The sequence below is a fragment of the Homo sapiens genome, chromosome 2, assembly GCF_000001405.40.
Source record: "Homo sapiens chromosome 2, GRCh38.p14 Primary Assembly".
Classification (NCBI taxonomy): Eukaryota; Metazoa; Chordata; class Mammalia; order Primates; family Hominidae; genus Homo; species Homo sapiens.
Genome location: NC_000002.12, coordinates 29,591,647 through 29,607,952, shown reverse-complemented (window position 1 = coordinate 29,607,952; position 16,306 = coordinate 29,591,647). Strand labels below are relative to the sequence as shown.

The 16,306-nt window shown below is 44.3% G+C and overlaps 1 protein-coding gene across 2 annotated transcripts in view, besides 1 other annotated feature; it reads left to right on the top strand.

Moving 5' to 3' along the window:
* Positions 1–16,306, top strand: part of ALK (ALK receptor tyrosine kinase) — a 728,813-nt gene that overhangs the window by 313,634 nt on the left and 398,873 nt on the right. The window lies entirely within an intron of this gene.
* Positions 2,919–3,468: an enhancer, noted in NCBI's record as "NANOG hESC enhancer chr2:29827351-29827900 (GRCh37/hg19 assembly coordinates)". NCBI's record gives its function as "activates a minimal SCP1, AML or CMV promoter by ChIP-STARR-seq in primed H9 embryonic stem cells {active_cell/tissue: H9 hESC(primed)}" and the evidence as "EXISTENCE:reporter gene assay evidence [ECO:0000049][PMID:30033119]".

Sequence of the window (16,306 nt, the reverse complement as noted above, 5' to 3'; positions counted from 1 at the left end):
CACGATTATGTTGGCAAATTGCTGTAATTATTTTTATAAGACTTACTACAGGTGAAGGTCTACTGAGATTGAAAAAAAAAAGAAAGAAATGTGGGAGTTGCTAGCAGGTGCTTGGTATTAAAGCCACGAGACAGGATGAGATGACCAGAGAAAGTGTAGGTAAGAAAAAAATCATTCCAAGAAGGCTTTGAGGCATCCAACAGTCATAGGTCAAGGAGGTGAGAGGAACCCGTACAGTGGCTGAGAGGGAGGTAGAAGGAGAACTGAGAGAGTGGGGTCCCAGAAGCCAAGAGAAGAGATGCTTGGAAGAGGAAGGTCATTTTCTGTGTAGAATGCTGCAGATATTTTGACTGCAGCAGAAGCTGAGCCTTGACTATTGGTTTTAGCTATCTGGAGGTCATAATGACCTTGACAAGAGCCATTTCGGGGGAGTGGTGAGGGAGAAAGCCTGACTAGAGTGGGTTCAAGAGAGGATGGGAAGGAGATTGGAGGAAATGTATATTGACAGTGCTTTAGAGGAGTTCTATTGCAAATGTCAGCAGAAATGGGTGGGAGGTAGCTGGATAGGAATGTGATTTTCTTAAAGTAAAAGATGCTCTATTTCTATGCTTAGAGAGATGATCCAGTAAGGAGAGAAAGTATGATGACATTGGAGGGAAAATCCTCTGCCCGCTGCAGTTCTCCCCACTTCTGTTATTACCACGCCCGTCAAGGAGGAAAGCACTACTCGCCTCTCCTACCCTGGCTTAAGGGGAAACCACAGCCCTCCCTCAGATATCATCAGCAAAACTGTCACTAAACTTGAAAATCTAAGTAAGGCCTGTCTACAGGCTTAGAAAAAACAATAGAAAATCAATTCAAAGAACAGTAATAAGCAACAAGATTGGTGTTTCACTGCCTGTGCTCCCCATGCTCTGTGGAATGCTGATAGGTCAGGTGAGTTTAAGGACTGCTGAGTTAAAAAAAGGAAAGCAGATGCATGGCTGCAAGACTTCTTGGAGGCTTTAAAGGCTGGTGAGCACTGTGTATTTCTAAGAGGGGCAACTAGTGTGAGGATTTTTCCCACCACATTTGGGGAAGTATGACAGGGGACTAGTGTTGCAAGGCATACAATACAGGAAAGAGTGAACAAGATCAGGGGTTGGCAGACTTTTCTGTAGAGTCAGATACAAATATCTTAGATTTTGTGAGCCATTGTCTCTGTTGCAACTACTGAAGCCTGCCATTCTAGCACAAAAACAACCATAGACAATAGGTGAACAGATGGGCATGGCTTTGTTTCAATAAAACTTTATTTACAAAAACAGGCAATGGGCCAGATTAGGCCTGAAAGCCATAGTAGTTTGCCAACCATTGAACCAGATAATCTGCCTGAAGAGATGAGCTCATCTTCCTGCAGAGACACCCAGGTCTGTCCACAGGGATGCCAAGTTCCTACTTACCTCTCTTTGGCAGGGGCTATTTTTCTTTACCTTTCACTTAGGAGCACTCTCAAATACGCTTAAATTCTTTGCAATTTAGCACAAAGGTCTGAGACCTAGAATGGCCCATGTAGATCCCATTTCTTTTCTGGGGCCCTGCCCTTTTCCTCATGATTCACACCAGAGGTATCCAGCTTCTTTGCCATTTTTATAAAACTGTTTGGGTCCAAACTGAAAATAACTCTGAATCATCCAGATTGTGGCTTATCCAGTAGGCCTTTTGCTTAAGTGTACCTCCTCATTTCCTGATTTCTGTGAGGGAGACAGGGGAGGGGAAATGAAGTGAATGCCTGCCATGTTGGCTGCTTATTGTCCCTGTTGAAAGCTTTTGTGAAAAAATGAGTCTTGGAACCATAGCACATGAAGAGTGATTAGAAAATATTTGCCTATTGGATCTGAATAAAAGAGCACTTGTGAGGTTATGGGGAGGTGGCAGTGGGGGTGGGAGGTGGAAGGATGGTAGTGGGGCTTTTTCATGGAAAGGAAATGAAGATTTTTTTCTTTGGGACCCAAGGGATGGAACCAAGACCATCAGGTTGAACTTACAGGGAGCAAATTTCAGCTGATAAGCAGGAGTCACTTTGATTTTGTCAGAGGGGTGGGGAGGCAGCATTCCATGTGAGCCTTCAGGTAGAGGCTACAGAAGGAACACTCACAATTCAGATGTGCCAGTAAGCTGGTGCCTTCACTGGGTCTGCTCCAACCAAGTATCATATACTGGGTGGCTTAAACAACATACATTGATTTCTCATAGTTCTGGAGGCAAAGACATTCAAGATCAGGGTGCTCACATGGCCGGTTTCTGGTGAGGGCCTTCTTCCTGGCTCGTAGACGGCCACCTTCTTGCCAGGTGATCACGTGGAAGAAAGAGACAAAGCTCTGGTCTCCCTTTGTCTTCTTATAAAAACACTAATCCCATTATGAGGGCCCCACCTTTCGTGACTTCATCTAAGTCATCTATCTCCCAAAGGCCCCGCCTCCAAATGCTATCACACTGGGGGTTAGAATTTCAACCTATGAATTTTGAACATTTAGTCTATAGCAGTGGGATAACTTTTTAAGGCCCCTTTCAATCCTGGTCATTTATGACAGGCCTCCACAACCCCAAGGCCATGGACCGATACTGGTTCCTGTTAGGAATCGGGCCGCAGCAGCAGGAGGTGAGTAGCGAGCAAGGAAGCGTTACCACCTGAGCTCCACCTCCTGTCAGATCAGTGGTGGCATTAAATTCTCATAGAAGCGTGAACCCTATCGTGCACCGCACATTCAGGGGATTTAGTTGCACACTCCTTATGAGAACGTAATCGCTACCCACCCCCCTGTCCGTGGAAAAACTGTCTTCCACGAAACCGGTTCCTGATGCCAAAAAGGTAGGGGACTACTGACTTTTGAAACTGAAGTAATCCACTCAAGCATGGTTTTCTTTAGACTGTAGATTATTGCTTTCACATAGTGTCCTACTATTGCGCTGGCCCCCACTGTCATTAAATATCACCTATATTTATTGGCTGGAGTGAAATATGTCAGAATATCCCAACAGGAATGATTGAAGAGAGGATTCACCAACTTTTAAGAGACAAGAGTTAACACCAATGCCACCTTTGTATAGCTCTGGTTTGAGCAGGGTGAGCTGAAACAAGGCACTCTAATCCAGAGACAACTGTCTGCATAGGCTTGTGGCTTTGTTCCTGTGTCAGAGATGTGAGCAGAACAAAGCAAGATCTGAAAGAGCAATGTGGTGCCAGAACATGAAACTCCTAGGGTTGTTGCATTTTATAATGGAATGGAAACCAAACTCAACTTTGGCACAAACAGGACACATCAGACCTCTTTTCCCTTTTATCTTTTAAATGTCTTTTCTCAGGGAGGTGTTCAAAGTGGCTTTTAACAAAGCATCTTTTATCCCATGTCCTCAGGATATTTACCTATCCCAGATACCTAGAAAACCTGCTGAGGGGACCAGGTTAGATTCTGGGCCATGAGTTTTGCTGTCTTTGTTGCCAGTTTGGAGAAATTCAATAAGTAAAAACTCTGCAGGAGTTTGAAAGATCTGAGTGTAATCCCTGACACATGTGTGAACTTCAGCATGGCCCTTCTCTGCTTCTTTTTTCTGTTGTAACTACTCGACTCTGCCATTGTAACACGAAAGGGCCATAGACCATACGTAAATGAATGAACATGCCTGTCATCCAACAAAACCTTACTTATGAACACCGAAATTTGAATTTCACGTAATCCTCACGTCATAAAATATTCTCTTTTTGATTTCTTTCCAACAGTTAAAAACTGTAAAAAAAAAAAAAAAAAACTTCTCTATTCTCAGCTCTTGAGTTATACAAAAATAGGTAGTGGGCCAGATTTGATCTACAGATTGTAATTTGCCCACCCTGTGCTAGACCCTGAGTATACAGAGGTGACCACATTTAACTTGATCCTAGCCTTGTGGTACTTACTTATGGGAGAAGTGGATACTAAATAATTTGAAGAGTTTTTCATGTAATCACCAATTGCATAGGAAGGAAAAAAAAGGGTCTCATTAGGAATCATTACAGGAAAACATCGTTTAAATTGGAGAATTGGCAAGTCAAGTGGGTGCAAAGATTTAAGGATTTAGCCAGGAAAGAGTGGATAGAAAAGGAAGTATCCCAGGCATAGGGGGAATCATAAGCTCAAACTGATAAACTGAGGGATGGTTTCTATCCTTCATCACTGACCTACCAGTGCTTCAGGATGTTTCCAGAGAGACTGAATGGTGCTGAGCTTGCTGGGCCAAGTGTGAGGGATGAACTGGTAAACCAAAAACAAAATTCTGAGCCACCCAACCGACTGAATGCACCCCTCCCCTTGGCCAAGGGGGCTTCCAAGGAAGCCTAAAAAAAACTAGTTCAGACCATGATGGGAAGGAGGGGGTCAGTCATGCCTCATGATACTCTCCTTCCTTTGGAATGCAGGCACAACTAACTGGCATTAACATGAAAACAGAGACCTGAAGGCTGACAAAACAGACTCTTTGTAGTAATAAGATACTAACTTCCAGCCTGACTCTAGTGTAGCATCACATGACAGAGAGCAGGCCCTGAAAGAAATCCAAGTATTTTACCCCAAAATATATTTCTGTGACATATTTTGAAATGGACCTGCAGAGCTGTCTCTTGTGGGGGAAATTTACATTTGGTAGAGAATCCCCTTCCCTGTCTACGTATTTTTCTGATCCTGACAAGATTAGCTGAAACTCAGGTACCTTTTAAAGGTCTGAATAGGAAACATTTGCGATCTATTGCTTCTATGAGTGGCCACCTATGAGACTTCATCTTCATAATAAGAACCTTGGTCTCTGTAACCCCTTATCTTAACCCAGACGTGCCTTTCTATTGATTCCAAGTCTTTGGATAATAAATAACTTAACTCTGTCGACAAATTGCCAATCAGAAAATCTTTGAATCTACCTCTGACCTGCAAGCCCCCACTTCAAGTTGTCCTGCCTTTCCAGACAGAATCAATGTATATCTTACGTGTATTGATTGATGTCTTATGTCCCCTTAATATGTATGCCAACTAAGCTGTAGCCAACCACCTTGGGCACATGTTCTCAGGATCTCCTGAGGCTGTGTCACAGGTCATGGTCTTCACATCTGGCTCGGAATACAGTTTCAAATATTTTTATAGAACTTGGCTTTTTCATCAACAAACTCACCTCCAAATGTGGTAGCCTCTATTGTCCAGCTATAGTCCTTCCACCTTCTTTAGCATCATTATGTATTTTTGCAGAGGTTCAGGACTCTTTAACCTGATCTTTGTCATTGTTGTACCTCCCCTGAGGGAGGCAGGTGAGGGGTGGTGACATTATCAAGCAAACAGGACCCTCTGTGTCTGGTAGTCAGGCATTGTGGTTTCCAGATCTTGTTCTACCACCACCTTGTTAGGTAATGCTAGACACATCACTTAATCCTTGCTAAACTGGAAAATTAAGAGATTTTATATATTAAGAGTCTCCAAGCAGGTGGCCTGGTGGGACTCCAAGCCTCTTTAACCAGATCAGCCCTACTCATGTCTGTCTTATATATTAAAGAGTTCATTCAAAATAGGATTTCATAAAAAGCTCACTGGACTTGATGGTTTTTGGGTCCTCCCCAGGCCTGACCCTGCTGGGATTCTATGAGCAGAATCTCTTCTCCAAGCCTGTCCATGTTGGATCCTGAATATGTCTGGGGCCTCCCTGGGGCAAATGAGCCATAAGAGTGACCATCCAAGCTTGTTCTGTGAGAATAAGGACAAGTCAAGCCATTTTCCCCAGGAAAATGATAAATCCCATCCTGCTGGCAAAATATCAAGAAAAAAACAAAAATATATGATTCATATCGAGTTTGCTCAGCTTTCCGTTGCCTCAGTAGTGCCACAGGCAATTAGTAATATAAACTAGGTGTTAGCCTTTTAACCTCCCAGTAAATCTGCATCCAACCCTTGAGGCACTCACACCCTCAGGACACTGAGCTGGTAGAGTTCCTGTCCCCCGCCCCCACCTTCAGGTGTCCTCAGAGGCATGCCTGGGGCTCTCTATCTCTGTCCAGCTTGAACATGCTTCTCTCAGAGTTTCTATCTCCCCTAATCCAGATAGGCCAATGAGCTTCGGCCTCTGAGTCTGGTAAGGGGCATCCTGACAATGAATGCCAGGACGAGGTCTGGACCCTCTGCTGAATCTGCCCAGGTGCTGTTTCTGAGTTGCTTGAACCCGGCATCACTCCTCTGGATACACGCTGTACCCATTTGCATGACTTTCCTGCCTGCTTTTGTTTTTTCAGAGAACTCTTCCCACGGCTCACTTCACTCTATGGAACACTCAGAGAAGCTGAGTGAGCACCATAATTCTGCCCTGTCCTCTCTGGGTGGCCATGACACTGAAGAAAAAATCCACTGGTACTCTTGATGCTTCCACCAAGATTAATGGAGCCGTTAGTATCCAGGCCACAGTGTGCACCTGCTTCCCTTTGTTACAGCCCCGGCCCCTCCCCTGGAATCATGCCACAGCTCACAAAGTCTTCCATTCATATCCTTGCATTTGATACTCAAGATAACCCTAATACTTTAGGATAGGCAGAGGACACATGATTATCCCCTGTGAACACATGGGGAAACCGAGGCACCAGAATCAAGTCATTAAATAGGACTGGAGCTAGAACTCGTGCCCAATGTCTTGATAAGTATTAAATTAATATTTGTAAAGTATTAGAACCTGTCTAGGGGCTTGCTGCAACACTAGGCTCCTGCTCTCTTGCCCCTTCACTCCCTGATATTTCTGTATTGCTTTCAGAGGCCATTTGCCAAGCTGTGAATTGGCTAGTTTGAAACTTCTTCTAGAATGGGAATCAGAGAGCAAATTTCTCTGCATGTAGGCAGAGCTGTGTGAAAATGCAGTTCTGGTTATTTGGACTTCCAGAAAGGAATCATAAAATAGACTACCAACCCAATTCTGAAACCTTTAACCCAGTGTAGTTGGTGACCCAGCAGTCCTCACCTTTCCACCTAGGTGGGTGTCCCTCTGAGCTGGGCTGTTAAGAAATTTGCTGCTAACCCCCAGTAGAAATACTGAGCCCTTTCATGGTCCTCCAAGTTAAGCTGCCTATTTCCAGAAATACGGCCTGGGTTCCTTCCTACTCCTCCACCCACCAACCAACACCATACCTCTTCTACTGTTTATGCCCCAACTCTTAACGTGTCCCCAGACTGTCCTTTTGAATCATCTCAACCTATCTTTGGCTCCCACAAAGTTCAATCTGGCCTGAATCCTCTGAGCTCTCAGGGCCACCCCCACCATGCAATCGACACTGTACACAAACAGTCCTGAGCACGTGAGCAGCCCCCACGATATCAGCCTGAAACACTTGCATTGCCCATCTCCCAGCAGGCTTAGGATCTGTTTCTCTCATTTGCTTCTTCTCCAATGCCAGGAGCTACTTCTTTAACCTCAGCATTTTGTTTCCCACATAAACTATGATTTAATGTCTTCCTCTACTTCTTCAGCCTTCATTTCCAAAATTTCTATGTGTTTTCTCTTTGATAACCACCTCCTCTCATTCCATAATCACCTATTCTTTTCCATGGATGTTATTACGTCCTTTATCTCTTTGAGTAAAGATACTTGTTTAAGAGCCAATTTAATGTTACTCTATCAGCTCTGTTTCCCCATGTGACTTCTGTTTGTTGTCTGCCTTTTGTGGTGTTACTCTCCCACAGGCTTGAGAATTTTTGGTTTATGAGCTCATCTTCTGCCAGAAGCCACCATTCTGAATGTTCTGGGTGGTATCCCAGGAAAAACAGTCTTGGGGGGTCTTAGCCCTAGACTTGAGGGGAAGTGGTTCCCATTCAGGCTTGTGCTGGCCACTGGTCTGCCCCACGTGTGGATGGGTGATGTGGATCTGAGCTCTGTCCTCACCGGAGTGAGCTCTGGGCCCTTGTGTCACGTGAGTAGCAATTTCCTCACCTCGCCATGGGTAATCACATCACCCCCAATCTTAGGGAGATGGTAGGGGTGGGAACCACACAGCTTAGCTTTTCAACACCAGTGAGCATGGTGACCCAGCCCCCAGCCTCATGAGGGTGGTCTTGTCCTTACTACAGGCAAAGAGCATTGGCGTATTGCCCATTTGATGTTCCTTTTGTTTTCATGTTTTAGGGTTTAAGGAATCCCCATTTTGGTCTCATGAGATGTCTCTTTCTTGCTTTCAAGTATGGATATATATCTATTAACTCTTTTTACACTTAAATAGTTTTCTACCTTTGCCAGTGTTTGGTGTGGAAAAATGAAGTGTCAGCTTATGCTCAATTTTCTATCTTCAAGAAGAAACTCAAGTGTCTTCAAGTTCAAATTCTTCCCTTCTGGTCCAGGCAGGTCCCTGAAAATCTGCATTGTACTGCAGGCCCTGCAAACAAAGCCCTGGTCACACACATTCTTGTACCCCAAAAGCCAACTCATTCAACAGCTTCATTTAAAAGCCCCCTTGGTGCTTCACAATTCAAGCCTCCTCCCTTCCTTAAATATGACTCCACGTCCTCTATTAAGGAATTTTTCTGCTTAAAAACATGTTATGAAGTGAGAGAGTTGCCATCCTACTCCTGGCAGTTAGTTCCTCGTTGACTTTGAAACATTAAAAAGTACTTAAGAGCTCACATTTTTATTTTATCACATCTGGGATTGTGCCTTATACTAAGGATGTTCTTGGTACAGCACAGGCCTTCCAATTACATAGTACTCCTCTAGGACAGAGTGTAATGTGTTTTTTTTTTTTTTGCAGAGTCAGATATTTAAGTGAATTTTATTGTCAGGTTTGCTTTGTAGTCATTTTAAAACCAGCCACTGTTTCTTAAGCTACCTCAGAGGGTAACTTATCTATTGATGACACAGCTATATCATTTTACAGGGTTCCATACCACATAGCTTAAGTGCCTGGACATCGTTATTTTAAAGTAGAGGAAAAAAATTTTTTTTTTGGTTCATGCTTTTTTATGTGTCCTTTTACATGTACTTTTAAGTGTCCATATATTTTGTAACAGGGAACAAAAGAGATGGCTTAAGGTGCCTTGTAATATTTATTTTGTAATACAAATTATATGTTTATAATATTTATTTCTCTCAGTCATAAAAGCAATTCATGCCCATTATAGAATATTCATCAAATATACTAATGTATGAAATAAGAAAATAAAAATTTCTCATGCTCCCATCATCTCAAGGCTTTTAATCAATATTAATATTTTAGAGCATTTCCTTCCATTCTTTTTTCTATGCCCATCAGTATACATTATAGTATATATTCTGTAATTGAAATCTGATTATACATAGCTTTGTAGACCACCATTTTTCACTAAATGTCATGTACTATTAAAACCAGAGCCTGATGCCCTTTGCTCTCTAGACCCATGGCTGCCCTATTCCTACTTGCAAGACTGTGAAGCCATGAGCTTTCATGATGTCCCTAATAAAAACTGTTAGGATAAGAACAAGCTGTTTTAGGATCATGCCATGCCTTAGTGTCACCTCTAGGTTTCTATGCTGGGTTCTGTTACACTAGTCCATGTCAAAACAAACAAACAAACAAACAAACAAACAAAAAACAAACAACTAGTGTTCTCTTTTTAGAAGTACTCTCTGTACCGGGCATGGTGGCTCACGCCTGTAATCCCAGCACTTTGGGAGGCCGAGGTGGGTGGATCACCTGAGGTCAGGAGTTTGAGAGCAGCCTGGCCAACATGGTGAAACCTCGTCTCTACTAAAAATACAAAAATTAGCTGGCGTGGTGGCGCACACCTGTAATCCCAGCTACGCAGGAGGTGAGGCAGGAGAATCGCTTGAACCGAGGAGGCAGAGGTTGCAGTGAGCCAAGATCGCACCATTGCACTCCAGTCTGGGTGACCGAGTGATACTCTGACTCCAAAAAATAACAGTACTCTCTGAACCTCTGTTTTCCCCTCCACAAAGTGAGGAGCTAGAGCAGGTGACAAAACCCAAATGAAGAACAGCCACATTGGCCAGCCTCCCTTGGCAGATGCTGGCAGTGGCCCACACTCTCCTCAGGCACATGGGTGCTCTGCTCCTCTCCTCTGTACCCCTCTGCAGCCCTGCACCACACCCCAATATCCCTCCACCTGCCCCGCTATCTCCCTATTACCCTGGGGCCATTCTGTGTCTCCTCCCTTGGTGAAGAGGAGAGAACGCTCCAGGAGTCTTCAAGGTTTTAATTAAACATGACTCCAGCTAAGCAGCTGTACATATTAAAACTTTTATTAAAATCATGGCTAAGGTTCCACATTAATCAGGAAGCCACATCTTTCCTAAATGGACAAAATTGCTGGTTAGATCACCAAAACCAGTTGAGACCTCTTAGTTGTCAGGTTTTTTCTTCCCTAATGCAAAATCCATATGAGTCACCTTTCCTGTTAGGAATTAATACATTTATTAATATTTGATTGGTTATGTGATTTTAAGAAAAGGGCACTGGGCTTTGTGGAGGAATTTCTGAGGACTCCATGGCAAATGGAACAACTCGGCACCAAATTAGTGGCGTTGGTTCATATTCTTCTTTGATTTATCATCTTTTCCATGCTTTGAAGCACAACAGATATGATGGGTTTGAGAGTGAGCACTAAATCTCCACTCCCTCGCTACTCTGTTGACAGTAGCTATTTAAGAGAAGCCTGATTTGTGAGGCTGACCAGGCCTGCTGCCCACCTCTGTCACTGCCCGTCAGGGGATTGGATTTCCAACAGACTTTCCCTTTCCTTCCAATCTCCTCCACCCACTTTTAATAATAGGCTCATATTTCCCAGGTACTTTCCTGTGGCCTTAAAGAATGCGGTTGCCTTTGTCTTATTCTCAGCCTCTGAGGGAGTGCTATTTTTTTTGTGTCTGTTTCAAAGTGGGGGATGCTTAGAGATCTAGGTATTGACTGGCCCACAGTCACACCAACTAAAGACCCAGCAGCCGAGACTAGAATATCCCCTCTGGGGAGGAATTCAGTATCAGGCAAAGTTTGGTTGGACCCCTCCACAAAGGGCAATGATGAAAGACTTCATGGACCACTTTAAGAGGGCAGACCTCATTCAAGACATAGCAAGCAGTCTGCAGTCCACAGAGTTACCAGGAGGCTCCCCACATGGTCTCAGTTCTTCTTATAGAAGTAGGGACGTGCCCTGGCCTGCCAGGGGAATTCTCAAGTGGCCAGAGCCCTTGCCACCATGCCAACGCTCTTGTAGAGTCTATTTTATCAAAGGCTATTTTGCTTCCAGTCCCTTTCAGTTAGGACTCTCCACTGGGTTTTATGATCAAGTCATAAATCCTCAGTGCCACTCAAGGCCCTCAGAATCTGGCCCTGCTCACCTCTCTAGCTTCCCCTTTCCTCTCTCCACACACCCCTACCTGCCCCTTGCAGCCATTCTGAATCTCTATTGTTTCTTAAGGTGTCTTTACTCTCCTCACCTTCTAGTCTTCTGACAAATCACTCTCTCTTCAGGGAACACTATCAGGGAAGGAAAGATGGTTTGGGGAAAGAGAGGGTGATTTGTTTTGGACATGTTGAGTGAAGGTGGCAGCAACACATTTAGGATGTCTGTATACTACTTAGAAGATAGGATATGGGAGAAACAAGATATTGGGACTTAAGCTGTGAACCCCAGAGTCATTTTCACAGACAGGGCAATTGAAGCTGTCAATAGGAATATAGGGAGAAGTGTGCAGGACCTAAAAACAGAGCCTCTATTTGGGTTAGGGAAAGAAAAATCTGGCCAAAGGATATGGTAGAGGTAGGTTTAACTGAAGGAGATCAGAGGTGAGAGGTAAGTCACAAACGTGTGCAATTGAAAGTTAGGGAGAGGAGCTAACATTTGTTGAGTGTGGAGTAGGCACCAGCCCTGTATTAGGTGATGTATGTACATGTGGTCTGGGCTCCTGGGATCTAAGTGGACACTCGTTTACTCTCACTTCTTAAACATGGCCCCAGCCTCATTTTCTCATTATCAAGCCAGCTTGCCGCTACTGGAGCACGACACCTTATCTTCGTCCAGAGTTCATTCCTATCAGTGTCCAGGGTTCTTCTGCTTTTTCCCTTCAGTCCTGGAATTCTCTCAGCTTCAGAAAACTTATTCCCTGTGCCTCCCCTTCTGAGCTACCACTTTATCCCAACAGACTTGTTTCATTGGCTTACTTAGTTTTAAAATTTGTAAAATTCTTCCTTTCATTGAAAATGTTTTGTTTTCTCTCTCCGTCTTCCTCTCTGTTCCCCCTACTCCCATGTGTTTTTATTGAGAGGAGCTCTTTAAGAATGTGACCACATCACAGATCAATCTCAAACTCCAATAAGACGGCTGGGCGCGGCGGCTCACGCCTGTAATTTCAGCACTTTGGGAGGCCGAGGCGGGCGGATCATGAGGTCAGGAAATCGAGACCATCCTGCCTAACACGGTGAAACCCCGTCTATACTAAAAATACAAAAAATTAGCCGGGCGTGGTGGTGGGCGCCTGTAGTCCCAGTTACTCGGGAGGCTGAGGCAGGACAATGGCGTGAACCCGGGAGGCAGAGCTTGCAGTGAGCCGAGATCGTGCAGCTGGACCCCAGCCTGGGTGACAGCGAGACTCTGTCTCAAAAAAAAAAAAAAAAAAAAATCCAGTAAGACAGCAGATCTCAGTGAAGAAACCACTGTCTGTGTCTCTGCTTCCACCTGGGATCACTCTGAAACCATGTGCGACTTTAGCAAAAGTGTGTTTGTTTTCAAATATCTGAAGAAGAAGAAAAAAAGTAGAAAATAATCTTAATATTTCCTAATATTGAGATATTAAGCTGTGTGTAATGCAAATATTCAAATATTCGTCTACTTGGCATCACAATGAAAAGACATCTGGGAGGAGGATTGATTTTCACTTTTCATTCAGATGTTTTTAATCGTGTAAAAAGATATTTAGACGCATGACTTCCTTTCCATTTAAAATTATTTCTTGTAAATAATCTATTCCTTCTGTTCCTTCCTTTTGCATTTTTATCAGATACTTCATTTATTTCAACCTTCTTTGCCCCCCGCCCCCCACCCCCCATTTTTGTTTAGAAAAATAGAGGTCTCAGCTTCACTGCATTCTTTTGAAAGAAGTGAGAAAGAGAAGAGAACCCCCACACACACCCCTATAGCCACACTATACCCATTTCTCCAGTAGTGAGCTAGGGCATGTTTAACAACTGGCTCTTCAAAAAAGTGAGGAGACTTGGCTGGGTGCAGTGGCTCACACCTGTAATCCCAGCACTTTCGGAGGCCCAGGTGGATGGATCATGAGGTCAGGAATTCGAGACCAGCCTGACCAACATGGTGAAACCCCGTGTCTACTAAAAACACAAAAATTAGCCAAGCATGGTAGTGCACACCTGTAATTCTAGCTACTCAGGAGGCGGAGGCAGGAGAATCGCTTGAACCCGGGAGGCAGAGATTGCAGTGAGCCGAGATTGTGCCACTACACTCCAGCCTGGGTGACAGAGCAAAACTCCATCTCAAAAAAAAAAAAAAAAAAAAGTGAGGAGACCTTATTTGTACTGTTTGTCTATACTCATAGTGTAAATGTTGCCACCATGGCCACTTTAAGCTACTGACGTGATTTTACCGAATGTGGAGTTGGGAAGAGATACACAGCTCACACCCTTATATAGTATTTCCACCATACAGACACAATATGCATGTAAATACCTAACCTCAAAAACATAGATACTAGTAAATAGTTGGAAAGTGATGAGTTTTGAGTGATTTATTACCTTTATAAAATATAATGTAGTTAATTCAGAATTTTTCAACATTACTACTGTTGACATTTTGGGCAGGATAATTCTTTGTTTTGGGGGGTCTGCCTTGTGATTATAGGATGTTTAGCAGAATCTCTGGCCTCTACCCACTAGATACTAGTAAAATCCTCAGTTGTAAAAACCAAGAAAACCTCTCCAGATATTGCCAAATGTCCCATGGAGTACAAAATCACCCCCAGTGAGAAGCACTGATTTAATTGTAAGTTCGCATATTTTAATAATGGCTGTATTTAACAATCTTCTTTCAAAGTTCCTGAAAATGTCACAATCAACTTTAAAAGCTGGTACTGTCAGCTTCAGCTCAACACTCACAGCATTGACTATAGAGAAGCTTGTCCTAAGAATACACTGGTTTGCCATAGTCACATAGGATATCAGAGGAAGTAAAAAGAGCAAGATTCTGCTATACTTCTGAACTTTTTGGTTTCTACATTTAATGACTGTGTTCATCACATCCCTAAATGCAGAGTGACATCTTTCTTTCACTGTGTTTTGGTTTTCTTTGAATTAAAGAATGCTTGGCTAACGGCCAATATTCTTCTCAGGTGCATAGCCCTAGAGTTCCCTCTAAGGTGACTGTGATTTTCTGCTCTGTCAGAGTTGGGGACCTCCTGTAGGTCCTTAGGAGCTTTCTGGAAACAAGTTTTGCAGTGGGAAATACAGGGTATAGAATGAAAGGGGACAGGGTCTCTAAGGCAGTGTCAGGTAGTGATCCCGGTGAAGAGGGGTCAATTCCCTCATTCTCAGGGAAACTACGTCCTAGGGTGAGAAATCCTAGTCTGCCTGCATCTCTTCACTCCCTGTTTCTCCATAGGCAATGGTCGAGCCTTTAAGATACTGGAAATCATCTCCAGCCATCCCTCTTCTGGGACTTTTCTGACCTCCTGACATCCTTATCCTTTGTTCCCACAAAATCCCCAAGGCCCCTTCACAGACCAATGTTACGTTGGCTTCATCCAAAGCTCTCACCCCACATGCCAGCCAGGCACTGGCGTAACGTAACCTGTGGACTCATTTGTCTGAACTCGTGAGGCCCAGTCCATACCCCTCTGTCCAATGTATGGCAACAGAAGATATTCTGATATTGGTGGTATTTGCTTCAGGCCATGTGCTAGTTTCTTAGGGCTGCCACAACAAATGACCGCAAACTGGGTGGCTTAAAACAGCAGAAATGTATTATCTCGCAGCTCTGGAGGCCAGCGTCAAGTTGCAGCGGGGCCATTCTCCCTCCCAAGACTCCAGGGAGAATTCATTCTTGCCTCTTCCAGTTCTGGTGGTTCCTGGAGCTCCTTGACTTGCAGAAGGACTCCAAGCTCCTTCCTCATATGTATGTCTTCCCTGGGTCTCAAATCTCTTCTCCTGCCTCTCTTTGGATTTACAGTCCATGTAAGCTTAATTACATCTGCAAAGACGCTGTTACCACACAAGGTCTCCCTTGCAGGTACCAGCGGTTAGGACTAGTACATATCTTTCTGAGGGACACTGTTTAACACACTATAGGGATATTAGGAGAAGGGTTATTTCTCTAGTTTCATAAGTTATTCAACTTATCTGACCTCCCAACATGAAAACTAGCCAGGAAGTGAGGAGAAGGAGGCTTTGTGGCCTCCAGCATCCCTCTTCCCAGGTAGAGGGAAAGAATAAACAACTCTTTCACTCCCTTCTCCCACCAAGTTTGTGCCCCAAGAGCTCAGGCGAGAGGGATACTTTGCAACTCCAAGCAGCCTGCTTGAGCCAGCATGGACTAAGGAGCAGAGAGGGCTGGTGTGGTCAGCTCAGGCCTGATCTGAGAGAAGCAGAGAGCTGGACCCCAGAGCACACAGGGCTTTGTGACCAGCTCCTCGGAGTGGCAATGAGTCAGGTGATGTGGCTGGGTCTCAGGCTAGGGTGGGCCTGGTGGTATTCCAGGAACAAAGGATGAGGATTAAGAGGAATATGAGAGTCAGACCCGCAGGGAGCAGAAAGGTGCTCTGGGACCCGCTGAGTACCCCAGAAGCCATCAGCTGCTGGCGACTCAGGGTCCTGCCACTGCCCAACTCTCACTCCATCCCCCAGGCCCCTCCGGAAGCACTGTCATCTGGATTTTGGGGAGCTGGTTCTCCAGTGACAATACCCCCAGCCTTCAATGTGGGTAGCCTTGACTTTGTACCTGAGATAGAGAGTGATCTTAAGATTGGCAACAAGGGATCTCAAGCCGAAAAGAATAAAGACGGACTCATGAGAAAGACGACAGAAAGAGTAAAACCCAGAATGAACTCAGGTGCTGAAAGATGCCAGTGACGGCCCAGAAGGTCTGTCTCAGCTCTGACGACACCGAGAATTAGAGGGCGCTTCTGCCACTCAGGGATGATGATGTAATCTACGTGACCAGGACTTCATACGTTGATTATTTTTGTAAAAACTTTCTTTTTCCTTCCTTGTCTTACCAGGCCCCCTCTCTCCTTTCATTTCTCTCTCGTTGTTAGCCCTGCTGTCACTCCTTGCCTCCCTCTTCTC